At 43.0% G+C, this 18,619-nt stretch overlaps 1 protein-coding gene across 2 annotated transcripts in view, besides 2 other annotated features; it reads left to right on the forward strand.

Moving 5' to 3' along the window:
* PPP1R16B (protein phosphatase 1 regulatory subunit 16B) overlaps positions 1–18,619 on the forward strand; it is a 117,328-nt gene that overhangs the window by 35,062 nt on the left and 63,647 nt on the right. The window lies entirely within an intron of this gene.
* Positions 2,005–2,114: an enhancer, noted in NCBI's record as "active region_17865". NCBI's record gives its function as "activates an Ori minimal core promoter by ATAC-STARR-seq in GM12878 lymphoblastoid cells {active_cell/tissue: GM12878}" and the evidence as "EXISTENCE:reporter gene assay evidence [ECO:0000049][PMID:35858748]".
* Positions 18,308–18,602: an enhancer, noted in NCBI's record as "tiled region #4490; K562 Activating DNase matched - State 5:Enh". NCBI's record gives its function as "activates a minimal TATA promoter and a strong SV40 promoter by Sharpr-MPRA in K562 cells {active_cell/tissue: K562}" and the evidence as "EXISTENCE:reporter gene assay evidence [ECO:0000049][PMID:27701403]".

Raw genomic sequence — 18,619 nt, forward strand, 5'->3', positions numbered from 1 at the left:
CCTAGCTCTACCGTTTACTAGCTGTGCATCCTTGGGAAAGTTACTTTACTTCTCAGTGCCTCCATCTCCCCATCGGTAAAAATGAGGATGATGATGTACCCGCTTCATAACGTTGTTGGGGGGTTAAATTAAGTTGATAAATGTTGAAGTGGTATGGTCAGAGCTACGTAAGTGGTATAAATTGTTGTTATTCTACACTATTCTACATTTACGTAATCTATTATTACAGCATATTCTGATTGTCATCATTGTTATTATTTATCAGGTGCTTTGTACCAGGCAGCTTGCCTTACATATGTTATCTCGGTTAATCTTCACAGCAACTCTCTGAGGTTAGAGAGTCAAACCCCATTTTTAAAAAATAGCTTGGGGTTCAGTTTACATATTATAAAATTTGCCCACTTTAAGTGTACTATTCAATGATTTTCAGTAAATTTACAGAATTGTGCATCCATCAGCCACAATCCAGTTGTAAAACATTGCCATCGCTGAGTGGTGTGGCTAACACTTGTTATCCCAGCACTTTGGGAGGCCAAGGTAGAGGATCGCTTAAGCCCAGGAGTTCTAGACCAGCCTGGAGAGCCTGTCTGTACTGAAAAAAAAAAAAAAAAAAAAAAAAAAAAGCCAGCCGTGGTGGCACTTGCCTGTGGTCCCAGCTACTTGGAAGGCTTAGGCAGGAGGATCGCTTGAATCCGGGAGGTTAAATCTGCAGTGAGCCATGATTGAACCACTGCACTCTAGCCTGGGTGACAGAGCAAGACCCCATCTCAAAAACAAACAGAAAGCCTTTTCATCATCCCAAAAAGAAGCCTCATGCCCATTTGCAGTGACTCCTGGTTCCCAGACCCAGGCAACTATAATCTACTTTCTGTCTGTATAGATTTGCCTTTTCTGGACATATTATTTACATGGAATCATACAGTATATGATCTTTGTGATTGGCTTCTTTCATTCAGAATACTGCTTTCAAGGTTCATCCTTGGTGTGACATCATATATCAGGGCTTCATTCCTTTTCATTGCCCTGTAGTATTCCATTGTATAGATATTCCGCATTTTGTTTATCCATTCACCAGTAGGTGAACGTTTGGATTATTTCTATTTTGGGGTAGGATGAAGAATGCTGGAAGGCAAATTTGGGTACAAGTCTTTGTGTGGATATATGTTTTCATTTCTCTTGGGTCATTACCTAGGAATAGAATTGTTGGGTCATATGGTAAATTATGTTTAACTTTTTAAGAAACTGCTGTACTGTCTTGGAAAATGGCTTCACTGTGTGAATTCTCATCCCCCATTTTACAGATGAGAAATTTGAAGCTCAGAGAGACTAAGTCACCTGCCAAGGTCTCACAGGTTTTAAGTGTCAGACTCAATCCCAGGATTCAAACCCAGATCAGTTTCTCCGAAGCCCATGTATTTAACCACCAGGCAGTCCTGTACTTCCTGCTTTTGTTTTCACTAGAAAACTAGAGAACCCTCAGTTGCTGTACTGATCTGTGTTTGTTTTGGCCTTAGGCATCCTGGTGTTTCTGCTGGCATCTTGGGCCCTTTGATTTGGGGCCCCCAAGATAAACTCTTTAGCCCCAGATATAACTTCTTTCTAGGGCCACAATAGCCCAGCCTCCCTTGAAACCATTGAATGTATGTTAAGTTGTTAGAGACTTCTGTTTTTCTCTCAGAATGTGTAGGGTTTTCTTTATGGAAATTCTCATTCAAAAAATGTTTGAGTGATTCTTCTGTACTCTAAATTTAACTCTTATTAAATTTAATGATTTTTCTCACTGTAAAAGTTTTCAAACTCTTTTTTAAGCAGTGGAAACTTTTCTTTAAATGAGATATTATGCAGAAACCCAATATGTAAAACAAAGGAAGGAGCTGTTCTGACTGGGGTCAGGTGGGTGGGGTGCTCAGTCATCCCTGCCACCTGCAACCCCCTCCCCCACCCCCAGGCACAGTGCTGGACACCTGGGCCTTGCCACCACCATCTTAAACCAGCAGCTCATCTACAGGAACTAGCTCAGACTTTCACTTTTGGTCCTTTTAAAAAGGGAAGTTTCTTTTCTTCTAATTATTAAAAAAAAAAAAACCCTGTTATTGTTACAGAAACTTTTAGAAGTACAGAAAAAAAGAAGCATTAAGAAGAAGATAAAATCACCCATATTCCCCCTGAACAGCAACAACCATTGATAATATTTTGGTATTGTTGTGTCAGGCAGCGTCCTGGGAGGAAACAAATGGTGATTTTATATGGGGTGATTTGTGGAAAGTTTGATAAAGGGGCAGTTTGTAAAGGGTTTAGGGAAGTGGTCCTCAAACTTTTTGGTCTCAGAGGCCCTTTATATTCTTAAAACCTGAGAACTCCTAAAAGCTTTGGTTTAGCTGGGTTCTATCTACCCATATTTACTGTATTCGAAATTTAAACGGAGGCATTAAATATTTATTCATTCATTAAGTCAGAATGATAAACACATTATCTGTTGGCTATCTGCTTCTGCGTAGCAGATGAACTCAAAATTTAGCAGCTTAAAACAATAAACATATACTGCCTCACACAATTTCTGTGGCTCAGGGATCCAGAGCAGCTCAGCTGGGTGGTTCTCGTTCAGGATATCTCATAAGGTTGCAGTCACTTCAGGATTTACCTGGGGCTGGAGAATCCACTTCCAAGATGGCTCACTGGCATGGCTCTTGGCAGGAGGCCTCAGTTCCCTGCCATGTGGCCCTCTCTATAGGACAGCTCGAGTGTTCTCTCAGCATGGCAGGTGGCTTTTTTCAGAGTGAGTGATCCAAGAGATAGAGGAATCCGCAATGCCTTTATGACCTTGTGTTGGAAATCATGTACCATCACTTCTACCATCTTCTATTCATGAGAAATGACTCACTAGGTCCAGCCCACACTCAAGGGGTGGGGAATTAAGCTTCATCTTTTGAAGAGAGAATTTGTGGACATGTTTTAAAACCACCACATGTTAACATAAATATTTTTATGAAAAATTATATTTTTCAAAACAAAAAAAAAAGCAATGAGGAGAGTAGCCTTGTTTTATATTTTTGCAAATCTTTTTAAGATCTGGCTTAATGGAAGACAGTTGGAGTATCTTATCTGCTTCTGCCTTCAATCTGTTGTGATATGTTATTTTGGTTGAAGTAAATAAAGAAAATCTTATGTAGTTGGAAAAGGGAGGAAATATTTTAATTGCTTTTTCAGATATTGTGGATATTCTTTGATACTACATCTAAACTCAACAAGTAGTAGTTTCTTAAAGGTTAGTTGCAGTGCTGAATCTGAAGCCATATCAATTTACATCAAAATCCATTGGTCTGTCTGGCATTTTGAATGGTTCTTTTACCCATGTGTACTTTTTTTTAATGTAATATATTGGATCTGTTAGAAAATATTGGTTCACTGAGTTACACAGATCTTCCAAATGTTGACACATTGCTTTATACAATATAAGAAAATGTATAGTTTCAATAACAATCTTGCCATACAATTATTCAGGTACTGGGAAACTGTAAGTTCGTGGTAGCTATAAAAGTTTTCTAAAATTTGGATTTTTGCTTAAAAGTTCAAATTCTATCATTGGTAACAAATGCTGTCAGTTGTGAGAAGATCCATTTGCCCTTTTTAGGAAAAAAAACACTGCCTGTTAAATACTCAAGTCTGAATAACCATTGTTTGCTAGACATCCTTTAAGTAAAACTAGTGCTCCATGAGAGAAGAGACTAGCTTAGCACACAGCTTAAAAAATGGCTCAAGTAATGCAGTTGGAGACAATGATTATTCTTTTTTTGAACTTCCCATTTTGTCACATGGAATATTAAAAGGACATGTACTCAAGGATTAAGGTTTCATAAAATTAATACATTTTATTGCTTTATCAAGGACATTTTTAAGGGAAACTGGTATTGATTTTTTTCTTTTGATTGCACATACAAAACAATGAAGATGGTGATTGCTAGTACAGCTTGGTGCCACTAAGTTAATTCTGTTAAAACAACAGTAGTTTTACCCACCATTGCTTTTACACCATCAGTGCAAATGTCAACACAGTGGAAAATGCAAGTAATTTCTTAGTGTTACTGTGAAAATTATTTTGATGTTTTAATACCCTGAAAGAGTCTAGAGACCACTTTGAGAACCACTGGTTTATGGGGGTCAACAAGGAATGGGACAATACCCTGGGATAGCAAAAGTTGGGAGATCTTACCCACCCCACCCCACCCCCTGGGCCTGAAGGAGACAAGGAAATGAACCTACTGGAACCTAAGGAAGGCACCGTATGGAGAGGGCTACCTAAAGGAGCAGTGGCTGCCACTCCATGCCCCTGCCATTCTGGTGCTTTCGGTGACAAACCTAACCAGAAAGCAGAATGCAAGGAAGCCTTTGATGTAGTGCAAGTCAACTGGCTTCCTCAGGCACGGAGAGGGGAAGATCTAGAGGGACAGATGGGGCAGAGAGTGAGCCCAGCTGTCTTCAGCCCTTCGGATCTACACACAAACAAGGAGTGAGTTTGTGTACATTTAAAAAACAACTTTTAGGGCCAAATGTGGTGGCTCATGCCTGTAATCCTAGAGCATTGGGAGGCTGAGGTGGGAGGATGGCTTGAGCTCAGGAGTTCAAGACTGCAATGAGCTGTGATGGTGCCACTATACTCCAGCCTAAGTGACAGAGGAAGACTCTGTCCCTAAAAAATAAATAAACAAATAAATAAAAATGTAAAAGTAAAAACAACTTTAACCCTAACATTCACTTGTGAATTCAGCAAAATTAGTCATCTGCTAGAGCTGTGGTATCAGGGAGAGCCTGTCTGAGGAGGTGATTTGGGCTCAGACCTGAATGTGGAGGAGTCTGGAGGAAATGTACAAAGGATGTGTGATGGGAACAGGGTTGGCGTGTTTGAAGACAGGAGAAAGATGGGAGGTGGAAGAGTAGGGGGAGGAGGTGGTTGAGGGAGAGCATACTGACCGTAGAAGACTAGAGTAGGAACTGTACATTTGATTTCGATGAAAAGCCACTGGTGGTTTTGAAAGGGGAATCATGTGATGAGATACAGATTTTGAATTCGGGATGGATTTTCCTGGTTGCTGAGTGCAGAATTGACTGTAGCAATCTATTTTCGCAGGGCTGTGAGGGGAGCAGGGAGGCTCATGAGAAGCCCTCACAGTAGCGTAGGTGAGAGCCTATGGTGGTCACTGGGCGATGCAGAAATCAGGAGGTGGAGCCCACAGGGCTTCTGTGTCAAGTGACAGAGGAGGGACTCAGTGATGGCTTTTGGGTTTTTGGCTTGAACATCTAGGTGGATGACAGTGCCACATTTTGAGACTGGGAAGATCGGAGTAGGAGGGAGGAGGGGATTTGGAGAGAATTGAGTTCTATAGGACTGTCCAAGTTGACATGTCCTTTTAACATCCACATGGAGATCTTGAAGAGGCAGATGAATATGTGAGTCTGGAGCTCAGGGGAGATATCAGGGATGGTTATAATACTTGGGAAGTCATCAGCATGATACAAGTGCAGTATTTTCAAAAATGCAGGACTGTAGGAGGTCATCTAGGAAGCAAGGGTAGTTGGAGCAGAGAAGGGATCGCAGAGAAGGGATCACTAGAGAAAGCTCTGGGACACCTCAATAGCTGCATGTTGACCCAAGAAGAAGAGAACAAAGGAGACCAGAATCATCTACTCAGAAGGTAGAAAGAAAACCAGGAATAGTGTGGCATCTCAGAAGCCTGGAAGAAAGGACTGTCAGCTCAGTCAAATGCTGTTGAGGGGTTGAATATTTTGTCTTATCTTTATATACTCTTTGGAAAAAGAGATTTCTAATGATGACCTCATATATCCTATCATGGATGTTCCATAATTTATGCAGCTACTCCCTTATTATTGCATTTTGAGGCCATTCCCAATTTTTGCTACTATAAATTATGCCGTGGTGAATATCAATGTATAAAAGTATTTGGTTGGCCGGGCGCTGTGGCTCATGCCTGTAAATCCTAGCACTTTGAGAGGCCAAGGCGGGAAGATCACTTGAGCCCAGGAGTCCAAGACCAGCCTAGGCAACATAGTGAGACCCCATATCTACACGAAATTTAAAAAATTATCCAGGTGTGGTGACGTGTACCTGTGGTCTTAGCAACTTGCGGGGTGGAGGTGGGAGGAACTTTTGAGCCCAGGAGGTCAAGGTTGTAAGCTGTGATTGTGCCACTGCACTCCAGCCCAGGTAACAGAGTGAGACCCTGTCTCCAAAAAACTAAATAAATAAAATAAAAATAAAAAGTATTTGGCCATAGCTTTGATTATTTACTAGGTAGATTCCTAGATGTTCATTGGCTTTGAGGTCTCGATATAAACCACTCATTTGACTACCAGAGAGGTTGTATCAGCTGTGTGTATCCATCCCTGCTATCTCCCCACCTCATCACTACCTGCCACATCAATGCTGGATGATGACATTGAAAACACACCTTTGCTGATATATTTGATATATGGAAAATAGTCCTGTTGTCTTAATTTGCATAAAATCGAGACAGTTAAGGTTGAATACCTATTCATAAGCTTACTGGTCATCTCTCTCCTTCTTTGAGTTGTCTAGTTTGTTTTTTTGTTGTTGTTGTTTTGAGACGGAGTCTCACTCTGTCCCCAGGCTGGAGTGCAGTGGCACAATCTTGGCTCACTGCAACCTCCGCCTCCTGGATTCAAGCAATTCTCCTGTCTCAGCCTCCCGAGTAGCTAAGATTACAGGTACCCACCACCACACCCGGGTAATTTTTGTATTTTTAGTAGAGATGGGGTTTCACCATGTTGGCCAGGCTGGTCTCAAACTCCTGACCTCAGGTGATCTGCCTGCCTCAGCCTCCCAAAGTGCTGGGATTACATGCATGAGCCACTGCACCCGGACTATTTGTTCATTTTTTTTACTAGTGTGCTTCTTATTGGTTTCAATGATTGTGTACGTTTATGTTTGTGTGTGTGAGAGGAGACAGGGAGAAGGTGAGAAAGGGGGAGAATGACATTGGAGGGAGAGATGCCAACTCTTTGTTGTCATGTATGGTTCATATATTTTCTGCAGTGCGTGTATGTGTTTGCTTTAATGTTTTGTTTATAGTAATTTTTTATGCTTTGGAGTTCTTATTTTTTATATTGTCAAACCTAATGATACTTGATTTCTTTTTTTAAAATCATTTTATTTTTTTTATCCCTTTAAAGCAGGGACCAGAAAACTGTGGCCTGAAGTCCAAATCTTCCCACTGTCTGTTTTTGTAAATAAAGTTTTATTGGAACACAGCCATGCCCATTCATTTACATATTATCTATGGCTGCTTTCACATTACAATGGCAGAGTTGAGTTGTAACAGCGACCATGTAGCCTGCAAAGGTTAAAATATTTACTTTCTGGCCCTTTATAGAAATACTTTATGGGCTCTTGCACTAAAATGTTTCCTCATCTAGTGATGTATATTAAACCTATGTTTTCTTCTAGGGTTTTTTGGCCTTATTTAAATAAATAGGTAGTATTTCTGGACTTCATTTTAGTATAGAGTACTAAATGAAAATCTGTCTATATTTTGTTTCCAAAGCATCAGCAATTGTCCCAACATCCCTTCCTTCCCTACAAGTTTGTGAGGCCACCCTTGTACTCTAGAGCCTCATCTGTAATGAAGGGTAACTCTCCAACCTGTCTATTCTGTTCCAGCAACCTATTTTGGTGCCAGTTACATACTGCTTTCATCCTTGTAGGTTTATATTGTGGCTTAATATGTGATAAAACAAGTTTTTCCTCAGATTACTCTTTTTTTTCAAAATGTTCCTGGTTATTTTCAGCTGTTCACATAATATTTAGGACTGTTTGGTCAAGTTTTCCCTCCAAACCTCAAAAATAGATTTCTCCAAAGCTTTGCAGGGACATGGATGGAGCTGGAGGCCATTGTCCTTAGCAAACTAACACAAGGACAGAAAACCAAATACAGCATGTTCTCACTTACAAGTGGGAGCTAAATGCTGAAAACACATGGACACATAGAGGGGAACAACACACACTGGGTCCCTATTGGAGGGTGGATTGTGGGAGGAGGGAGGAGATCAGGAAAAATAACTAATGGGTACTAGGCTTAATACCTGGGGGATGAAATAATCTGTACAGCAAACTCCCATGACACAAGTTGACCTATGTAACACACCTGCACTTGTACCCCTGAACTTAAAAGTTTTTAAAAAATTAAAATAATTAATTAATTTGGACCAAAGTGATATGTTTATCATACTGAGTTTTTCTAAGCGGGCAAATAGCACATGTCTCTGTTAAGCATGTATTCTTTCTTGTCTTTTAGGAAAGCTGTAGGGTTTTTTGTTTGTTTGTTTGTTTTTGTTGTTGTTACTGTTTTCGTATAAGTCCTGTTTAATGTCTTAAAAGGAGGGCTTTGGGTTTTGTACATTAATGTTATACCAAGCGAATTTACTGAATTCACCTTAGTCTTGGTTTTTCAGTGAGTTATCTTGGGGGTTTCTATTTAGAAAAGAACATTATTTGCAGATGATAAGGTTGTCTGATCATTCCAGTGTTTCAGTAAGCCTGGAGATCTGAGTCCTATCCAGATTCTATCCTCTCTCCCCTTCTCTCCAGGCTAACTACTTCCGTTCCTTTTCATATTCTTTTATGACATGTGGCTTTGAGATTTGTGACCATGCTCTACTCTGTCTACGTTCTTCCCAAAGTCTGATCTGGCTCACTCTGGAGTGAATGGAACTGTCACTTTCCTCGTTCTGGTTGCTTTTGCCTGTTAGTATGACTTAAGTTTCCATTAGCTTTTTGGGTAGCTGCTGTTGACTCATATTGAATTTATAAGAAAACAAAACCCCCAAGTCAGCTTCCCATTAATGAAGCTACATTTTCCCCATCCTGATTTAAAAACAACAACAACAACAACAACAAAAAAAAAACAAAAAACTGTTTGTTGAAGCATAATCATCAGACAGAAAAGGGTAAAACTAGTTGTATTTTCATGTGCTGAGCATACCCATGTAACTAATCAGCACTCAGATCATGAAACAGAACATTACCAGCACCCCAAAAGTCTTCCTGGACACACGGTTGATTTTTAACATTGAGGTCAAGCGCTGCATTTATCTTGTTGAGTTTTGAGCCCAATTATCTACCTGTTCAGCTAGTTTTGGATTCTTGAATGATACGTTAGGACTTTTGTGTCACCAGTGACAAAAACTCAAGCTAACAAGGTTAACAAAACAGTGTTCACGTAGTGGAGAGTTCAAAGATAGCACAGCTTCAGGCACTTGTGGATGCATGAGACTACCAAGAAATGTCTCTGAGAAGACGACTATCAGCAGCTTGAAATATATATCCTAAATCCTTTTGGCAACCTCAGTAAGAATAATTTATTTTCCCAGAAGTGTCCCAGGCTCAACAAGTCCCAGAATGGAACCTCATTGGCTATGAGGTCGATTCCTGAGTCAATTGTAATGGCTAGATAAGGGAAGCAATGCTATGATTGGTCTGGTTGGAGCCATATGCCCACTCCTGGAGTCTGCTTCTCCCAAACACATGGACTGACACTTGGTATTATGTTGTACCTACCCACTCCCCCAAAAATATTGGGATGATATTTCCAGAAGGAGGGAGAATGGATGCTTGTCAGGCCATAATTAAATATATTCACCTCAAATGAAATATTCACCGGCAGTTTCTACTCCATATCATTCATAATTGCAATAAGGATTTGCCTTCTAGACCAGAATTGTGCAATAGAATTTTTTTCTGATGATGGAAATGTGCTGTCCAATACAATAGCTGCTAAATTTTTTATTGTATTTAGTTAGAAATAATGTAGTCAACTGTGGCTAAGCTAGAGGCTGCTGACTTAGAAACACAGTCATAGGCCATTATCCAAATCCCTGATAAAAATGTTGAATAGGGCCCAGCGTGGTGCTCACGCCTGTTAATCGCAGCACTTTGGGAGGCCGAGGTGGGCAGATCACCTGAGGTCAGGAGTTCGAGACCAGCCTGGCCAACATGGTGAAACCCTGTCTCTACTAAAAAATACAAAAAATAACCAGGTGTGGTGGTGGGCACCTGTAGTCCCAGGTACTCGGGAGGCTGAGGCAAAAGAATTGCTTGAACACGGGAGGTGGAGGTTGCAGTGAGCCGAGATCATGCCACTGCACTCCAGCCTGGGCAATAGAACAAGACTCCATCTCAAAAAAAAAAAAAAAATTGTTGAATAGGTCATGGGCAGAGATGCTGCCTGGGGCCACACCCCCGGAGACCTTTTCCAGATTAATGTATCAAAGTCAACTACTGGGAATAGTTGTGCAACTGAAATGAACTTAACTACATTGTTATTTGCAGTTGGTATGTGGGAACAGTAGCAGGAGTCTCGACAATTAAAAAACAATTAAAAAAAAAAAAAGCTGGCTGGGCATAGTGGCTCACGCCTGTAATCCCAGCACTTTGGGAGGCCAAGGTGGGTGGATCACCAGAGGTCAGGAGTTCGAGACCAGCCTGGCCAACATGGTGAAACCTAGTCTCTACTAAAAATACAAAAATTAGCTGGGCATGGTGGTGCATGCCTGTAATCCCAGCTACTCAGGAGGCTGAGGCAGGAGAATTGCTTGAATACAGGAGGTGGAGGTTGCAGTGAGTTGAGATTGCACCATTGCACTCCAGCCTGGGTGACAGAGTGAGACTCCATCTTAAAAAAAAAAAAACCATCTTTCCTACAAAACTTAGAAGACGATTTCTCTCTGAGGGTTAAATTACAACAAAATGTGATGGATCAGAGTAGCAATTCATGCACAGACATTTATGGAACATAGTCTGGACATCATCAGGCTGGCATTGGTTGTTCAGTGGTGAACAAAACAAAATGGGCCAGACCACCTTGGAGCTCAGAGTCTAGCAAAGTCATTGTGAAGAGAGCATAGTATTAACATGCTTAACAATGGATGGTGTTATTATAAAGAAGGCCTTGCTGGGCATGGTGGCTCATACCTGTAATCCCAGCACTTTGGGAGGCCAAGACAGGAGGATCACTTGAGACCAAGAGTTTGAAACCAGTCTGGGCAACATATTGAGACTGTATCTCTACCAAAAACAAAAACAAAAACAAAAACAAAAGCCAGGCATGGTGGTGTGGGCCTGTAGTCCTAGCTGCTTGGGAGGCTGAGGCCGGAGAATTGCTTAAGCCCATGTGGGCAAGGCTGCAGTAAGTCACAATTGTGCCACTGCACTCCAGCCTGGGTGACAGAGCAAGGCCCTGTATCTCGCGGGGACGGCGGGGGGGGAAGGCCTTGTCAAGAACAGATGCCAGAAAAAGGGGGCTAGGAGATCATTTATGAACAATTCTATTTAAATATCGTTCAAGGGAGAGGACACTGTGAGCAACAACTTTGGTGATTACCATCCCATTGCTAAGGACAATCTGATTATGGAAAAAGGGGACTTCAACCCATCTTGGTGATCTTGGCGTAATCATTAAACATGATGATTATGTACAACCTTCTGATTATAATTTGGCGTCCCAGCCAGGTCTGCCTACAAGCACAGAATGAGTTGACCGTGCTTAACTGAATTTCAGACATGCAAGGCAATTATTCTCCTGTGATCCTGGCATTGTGTTTTTATGCAGCAGCCTCATAAACTTGGATAGTATGAGACTGCTCTTGGGAGAAGAAACTGCTGTTGGTAGGCTGGTCAACCATGGTCGATCACCAAGGTGATACCATCCTAGGGATCTTGGGGATATTTAACCAATTGGAACTCCCTTGGAACCTCCCCCAAATCAAACCACAATGACACTCAACCAGCATTTCCCCAGGGTGCTAATAAGGAGGTGTATGAGAGGCTTGTCAGGTGCTCAATGGAGTCTAGACATTTTCTATCTTTGACATTTCTCAGTGTAGTGAACCCATTGAGAAGATAGATGAGGCATTGCTAGCATGATTGATTCTTGCTTGGCTTCTAGGGACCACTGTTTCCTTTTTTTTTTTTTTTTTTTTTGCGGGGGGTGGGGGTAGCATGGGGGGATAAAGTCTTGCTCTGTTGCCCAGGCTGGAGTGCAGTGGCATGATCTCGGCTCACTGCAACCTCCGCCTCCCAGGTTCAAGTGATTTTCCTGTCTCCGTCTCCTGAGTAGCTGGGATTACAGGTGCCAACCACCACGCCCAGCTAATTTTTGTAGTTTTAGTAGAGACGGTTTCACCATGTTGGCCAGGCTGGTCTCAAACTCCTGACCTCAGGTGATCCATTCCCCTCGGTCTCCCAAAGTGCTGGAATTACAGGCATGACCCATTGCGCCCGGCCCCACTGTTTCCTTTCTAATCGAGTGAGAAAATGGTCAGTATTTCTGTCAACAAAATTCATGAGGCTCTTTGTACGCACAGACTTCAGGCCTTTCTCTCAACAATCGCCAAAGCTGGAGCATCACATGGAGGAACACTGGGGTTTGAAAAACAGGAATGTTCCAGAATCTTCTCAGAGTATTACATTTTCCAACATGTCCATCCCATATTTGTACCAACAAACAGAGCTGGTCCCACTGCCCTCATCCTTTGTCTACCATGTTAGGCTGAGGAAGTTGCATGCAGAGCAGAGGTGAAGACTAAGAGAAGAAGATACAAGAAACCTGCTGAGTAGGGGAGAGGGAAATGGTACCTCTGCCAGTTATGCTGGAAAAGCTAAATGAAACCCAAATCTTGATGGAGGTGTTAGGGTTTTCAGTCTTTCAAGAGAAGCTCAGGACACAGGCTTTTTGGCTTAAGGACCCCAAATTTCCTGGGCACCACAAAAGTAGTAACGGCAGTCCTCCAGGTGAATCAGTGTCAAGAGCTAGACTGTAATCACTTGCCTTTTGTTGCATTACAAGCCACTCTTGAAACACTTAGTGGATTGAAACAACAACTTCTTATTTCTCAATGATTCTTTGGCTTGACTGGGCACTCTTTCTGCTGGTCTTCCCTGGGCAGTTCTTCTGCTGGTTCTGCCTGGGCTCACTCATGAGGCTACAGGTAGCTGCTGGGTCAGCCAGTGTCTGGGGCTCAGCTGGGATGACCTGGCCTCTCTCTGCCTGTGGTCCTTTATCCAGCATGATGGTCTCAGGGTTCCAAGCAAGTAAGCCCCAATGCACAAGTATTTATCCAGCCTTTGCCTGCATCGCGCTTGCTCATGTCTCATTGGCTAAAACGGATCACGTGGCCAAGCTCAGAGTCAGTGTGGGAAGAGTCTATACAAGCGCTTGGGTACTGAAAGGCATGATTCATTGGGGGCCATTGTTATAATCTACCACACATTCTAGACTTTGCTTTGCTTTAGATCCGAATTCTAGCAACTCGATGTGATAACCCTGGGCACATCATGTTGCTCGAACACTGTAATTGGCTATTGATGTCCCTGGAATGTCTGAGATGTATGGGGTGGACCAAACACTGCCTCTCTCTGGGAACCCCGGACTTTGGGTTGAGAATGCCTAGTGTTTAGGTGGCATTGACTCTAAAACCATGTGGCATTCAGAATTCAGCACTGGGCAATGGCGCATATGCTGATTTAATTTTATTAGCCTATTAGCTGCATAGACACAACAGTGATTTATGTGATTTTATAATATTATGTTGAACCTTCAATAATTGGGATTAAAGTCTGGATTGATGTTGTAACAGAAACAGGAGTAGAAAAATAATCATCAGCCAGATGGAAGAAATTATTAGTTCACAAATGCAGTGTGCTCAGTAATAAAATCTTTCAAAATGTGGATGACATAGGTGCAATAGAATATAAAGAGGCCTTCAGTGGAAAGCTTGGGAAGCTCTGCAGAGATGCAGTGGACCTTGAAGGTTAAGAATATGGAGTCAGACAAAACTAAATTTTAATCTCTATTTTGTGACCTTGGGCAAGTAACTTAACCTCTTTTGGACTCAGATTCCTCATCTGTAAAGTGGAGAGAATGATGCAGGGAAGGGAGGGGAGTGGGTCACCGTGCAGATTCATGGAAATAAAGGATAGACAGTGGACACGGTCAGTTTGGCTGTTACTATCATCTGCCAGTAGCCTCAGTTACAATAAGCCAGAGGCAAGATTAACATCTCTTCCTTTTTCTTTCTAATTCTTCTGCTCCCCACATTGCCATAACTACTCCCATTTTCTCTATCTCTGTTTACTCAATGGCGGCCTTCTATCAGTCAGTCACATAAAAGTATTCTTATTGCAGTCATTTACACTTTAGTATGAATGAGTCAGCACTTTTTTGCAGCAATTTTCATTGGAAGCCAGTGGGAAGTGAAAGGCTTTGGCCACCCCTCATAATATATGACTTAAAGCCTGCTTGCAATAGAGAGCCCTTGCAGAGTCTCTAAAAGAAAAGGACCTGCCCCCTGAAGAACTTCTGAGACCATAGACCTCATGGTGCCCAGCTTTTCCTGGTTGCCATGTGTCATCTCTAAAGACAGCCATGAATATCTGTTTTGGTTGACTTGAGCCATTTGAATGTCTAAAACCCATCTTAATAACAAAAGCTCTTTGGAGGGACCCTAATTAACTTCTTTAAATTGCTTTCTCTAAACTTTTGGAATTAATACAATCTGTTCCCTTGTTATTAAAAAAAAAAAACAAAACCCTAGGATACTTCGCAAAACTTCCCCCAAGTTACTTGGCAGCTAACATTTTGTCAAGGAGGCATGGTGGCCAACCTTCCCCTGAATGGGATTGGTTTCTATATAGTCATTCCTTCCGGCTCATGACTTTCTTCTCCATTTGCTGCCCACGGACGCCGAAAATAACTTGTTTTCTGGCAAGCTTGGGATGAGATTCCTTATGATTTAATCAGATCCATAATGAAGCTCTCCCAGCTTTCAGGAGAAAACATCCTGAACTGCAGGGCTGGTTAAGGGCAGGGCCCTGGTGAAGAGGAGGAGCCCCCTGCCTGAGCAGCACATTTGGAGCCAGGAGAGCTGCAACAGGGCCATGCCACCCACCCAGTGGGGTGCCCCCATTGTGGCTGAGACTCCTGGCAGTGCTCCAAGGTGTGTACCATGTAAGCTGTGCCTTCCCACTCCCTGCAGCCCAGACTAAAGGCCTCAAAGATAATAGGCAGGACATCGCATCTGTAAATACCAGCTGCTTGGTCCAGGAAGAGACAGTTTCCTACATATATATATATATATATATATATATATATATATATAGAGAGAGAGAGAGAGAGAGAGAGAGAGAGAGAGAGAGAAGGAGGAGGAGAGAGACCAGGACAGACTTGCCCTGGCTGAAACCAGGATTCCCTTGATGGTTCCAAACTGATGTTAAATTAGAGGATAACTCCAGATATGATAACAAGCTGGGGGTGGCAAAGTAGGTGGGTAATCAGGGAGCATCTGAGTAGGTGACAGAGAATTGGATAATGAAGAAGCAGGTAAGGTGATGGGAAGTAGCTGGGGCAAGAGGGAGTAGCCAGGCAATAAGGCAAAGTAGCTGGAGAATGGGAGAGTAACTTGATGATGAAGGCCAGGCACAAAGTGGGAGTTACTGCAGTGGGGCAACAGAAGACAGCCCCAGACCTGGGGTAGAGGCTACCCTGACCTGTTCCAGTTGCCTTCATTTTGCCACTTCCTTAGGTCTTGCTGCTGAGAAGTAAACTCAGCCTAAGTCTGTACCAGTTAGCTGGAATCTGGGCTGTTGTAAACTGTTGTGGTGAAGCTCCCTGGGAGTGAGGCTGAGGTTGTAGCAGTAGCAGGTAGGTGTGGTGAGTTTATTTCCTTGAGGGAGGGGCTCTCTCTTCTCTCAGCCCCTCAAAGGATGGGTGAGGTTGCCTGCCAGAGGTCCTGGCACAACTCACATCTGAGCCCCCAATTTCCCCATCATCACCTTCATCCTTCTCTCAACCAGATTTTTATTGGATAACTTAAGCACCAGGCATTGTGCTAAAAATCTTTCTATGCATCAACTCATTGCATCCTCTCAACAACTCTATAAAATAGGAACCGTTAGTAACCCCATCTTACAGGTGGATAAACTGAGGCTTAAAAAGTCTAACAACTTGCCCACATAAGAGGCGTAGCCAGGACTGTCTGACTTCAGAATCTGTCCTCTAAGCCTTATGCCACAGTCATGGTTACTTCTACATGGAGCATTTCTCCTTCAAAAGCTCACCCCTACCCATTCACTATTTAACAGCACTTAACAAGGTCTGGTTTGGGAGTGAAAGCTCAGGTAGGGTGTCCTGGTTGGGTAAGGAGCCTCAGAAACAATTCAAATGCTCATGGTCCCCACCTACGGTGGGCACAGCCACCTGGCTGCCCTTTTCCAAACCCATTGCCCGTGAGGTCTGTTGGATAAAGTCACAGTTTAGAATCAGTCTTCCCCAGGGTGCACCCACCACTGGCAATCAGACCTCATTTGCACTGAGACATTTATAGTCCACAGTGAATTTCCATTATCTATATAGAATGAGACAAAGAAACAGAAGGCTCCTGGCTTTAGGAAGTTTCTTCTTCTCTCTTCTGTCTGACAGCCATCCTTTCCAGCATGTCTTGGGACAGATGCCATGTCAAGGATCATCTAGATACTTGGAAAATATTGTATAATTCCAGGCTTTATAATTTTTTAATTAAAAAAATTATGTTTGGATCCTGAAGAGCCTAACTGTATTCCTTATTTAATGAAAGCAATGCAATCGCATTGTCACTGGTGACATGGTCCCTCATTTAATAAGCTGCTGGCTCCAAGATAAGCCATCCATTCCAGGAGGTTCTTGATTGGTAAAATTGTTTTGCACTAAAAGGAGCTTAAGGTTAAGCACTAATTAATGGAAGGGGGTTGGATTTTATATAGATAGATCGGTAGGTAGGTTTGGGGACATGTCAAATACACCATCTTTGTCTCTGCAGCTGAAAATATATATTTAAAGCCCACACAACTCCGTAGATTTCTTAAAGCTCCATTTTTGGCAAGTATATTCCAGTCTTGGTGTGCTCTGGTTAATAAGCAGCTTCTGACTCAGGGCACTCAGTGACTGATGGTTGCATTGACCCAAGTATCTCTCAGGACGCAACTGATGTGGTCAAAATCCCCCAGGTGGTTTGAGCCCACCAGTCTTTCTCGGTGGACATGGCTTGAGAACTTCAGTTGGGCACTAGGACACTATCTTATCTGAGGCGGCCAGAAAAAAAATTATAGACTGGGTGGCGTAAACGATAGAAACGTATTTCCTTACAGTTCTGGAAGCCAGAAATCCAAGATCAAGGTGCCAGAATGGCTGGTTTCTCGTGAGGGCTCTCTTCCTGGCTTTCCACCTCCTCACTGTTTCCTCACCTGGTGGTGGTTTGGGGGAAAGGAGACTCTCTGGTGTCTCTTTTAAGGACACTAATCCCATCATGGGGGCCCCATCATCATGACCTCATCTAAAACTATCTCCCAAAAGTCCCATCTCCAAATTCCATCGCACTGGGGATAGGGCTTCGATGTATGAATTTGCGGGGAACACAGTGTAGTCTATAGCAGGCACTTTCTGTGGCTGGGCAAGACAGCTGTCTTCTCTGATGTCCCTGGGGTTCTCTGTGGTGCTGGAGAAACTGATGGGGGAATTCTCTGGAATTTGTGTCCTGGGTGGACACAAAGGCCTCAAAAGCTCGAAGCCCATTCCCGTGGCCTGGCTGCATTGAAGGAAACTTTACTGCTGATTGGAAGAGCTATGGGGTCTTCAGACCCTGCCAGAACACAGGGCATATCATTTTGTAGGGGAGAGCCCTAGTCTTGGAAAACTTCCTGGTGGAAAGCAAAGGAAAGGAGGCAGAGGAAAGGACCAAACCTGATTTATTGGGTAAATATTAATAAATGAATGTACCTAGTGGCTGCCATGCTCTTCTGGCAATGAGATTGGAGGAAGGGGATATGATTCAGACCCATAAAACTCTGGAGAGGGCAGTGGGCTTGTTTACCAAATCCCTGATGCTACCCAGAGAGGTGCCCAGGAACTTGAAGCAAGTAGGGATGTAGAAGGAACCTGTATTATTAGGGAGGTGTCCTGGTTCTCTATTGTCACATAGAAAAGCTATTCTAAAATTTAGCTGCTTAAATTATCTCACATGGGTCAGGGGTTCAGATGGAGCCCAGAGGGGAAAATTTGTCTCTGCTCCACAACGTCCAGAGCCTGAGCTAGGATGACTGAAACAGTCATCCTGTAGTCCCAGGGCCTCCCCATGTAGCCTCTCTACGATGGTGGCCTTGGCAGAGTCAGACTTCTTGGATGATGTCTCAGAGCTCCAAGAGCAAATGTCCCAGGATCCAGGAAGCCGCCAGTTTCTTGAGACCTTGGAACAGCTACCAAGCCGACCCCGACTTCAGTGGAAGGGACCAAGACCCCACCTTCTGATGGCAGGAGTTTGATGGTCTCCACTGGGGCTGTCTTTAAACTGCCATGGGAGGCTACCTGCTGCGGCATTTTGAAGTTTATCTCTTGCTCATGTGACAGCCCAGCACGGGTATTCATGCTTACTTCAGCCTGTGGGTGGGGAACGGGGAGTGACTGCTAGTGCGGGTTCCTTTTTTTTTTGGCGGGGTGGGGGAGGGTGTGTGAAATGTTCTGAAATCGATTGTGGTGGTGGTTGCAACTCTGTGCAACCATCA

This window comes from Homo sapiens, chromosome 20 (genome assembly GCF_000001405.40).
Source record: "Homo sapiens chromosome 20, GRCh38.p14 Primary Assembly".
Taxonomy (NCBI): Eukaryota; Metazoa; Chordata; class Mammalia; order Primates; family Hominidae; genus Homo; species Homo sapiens.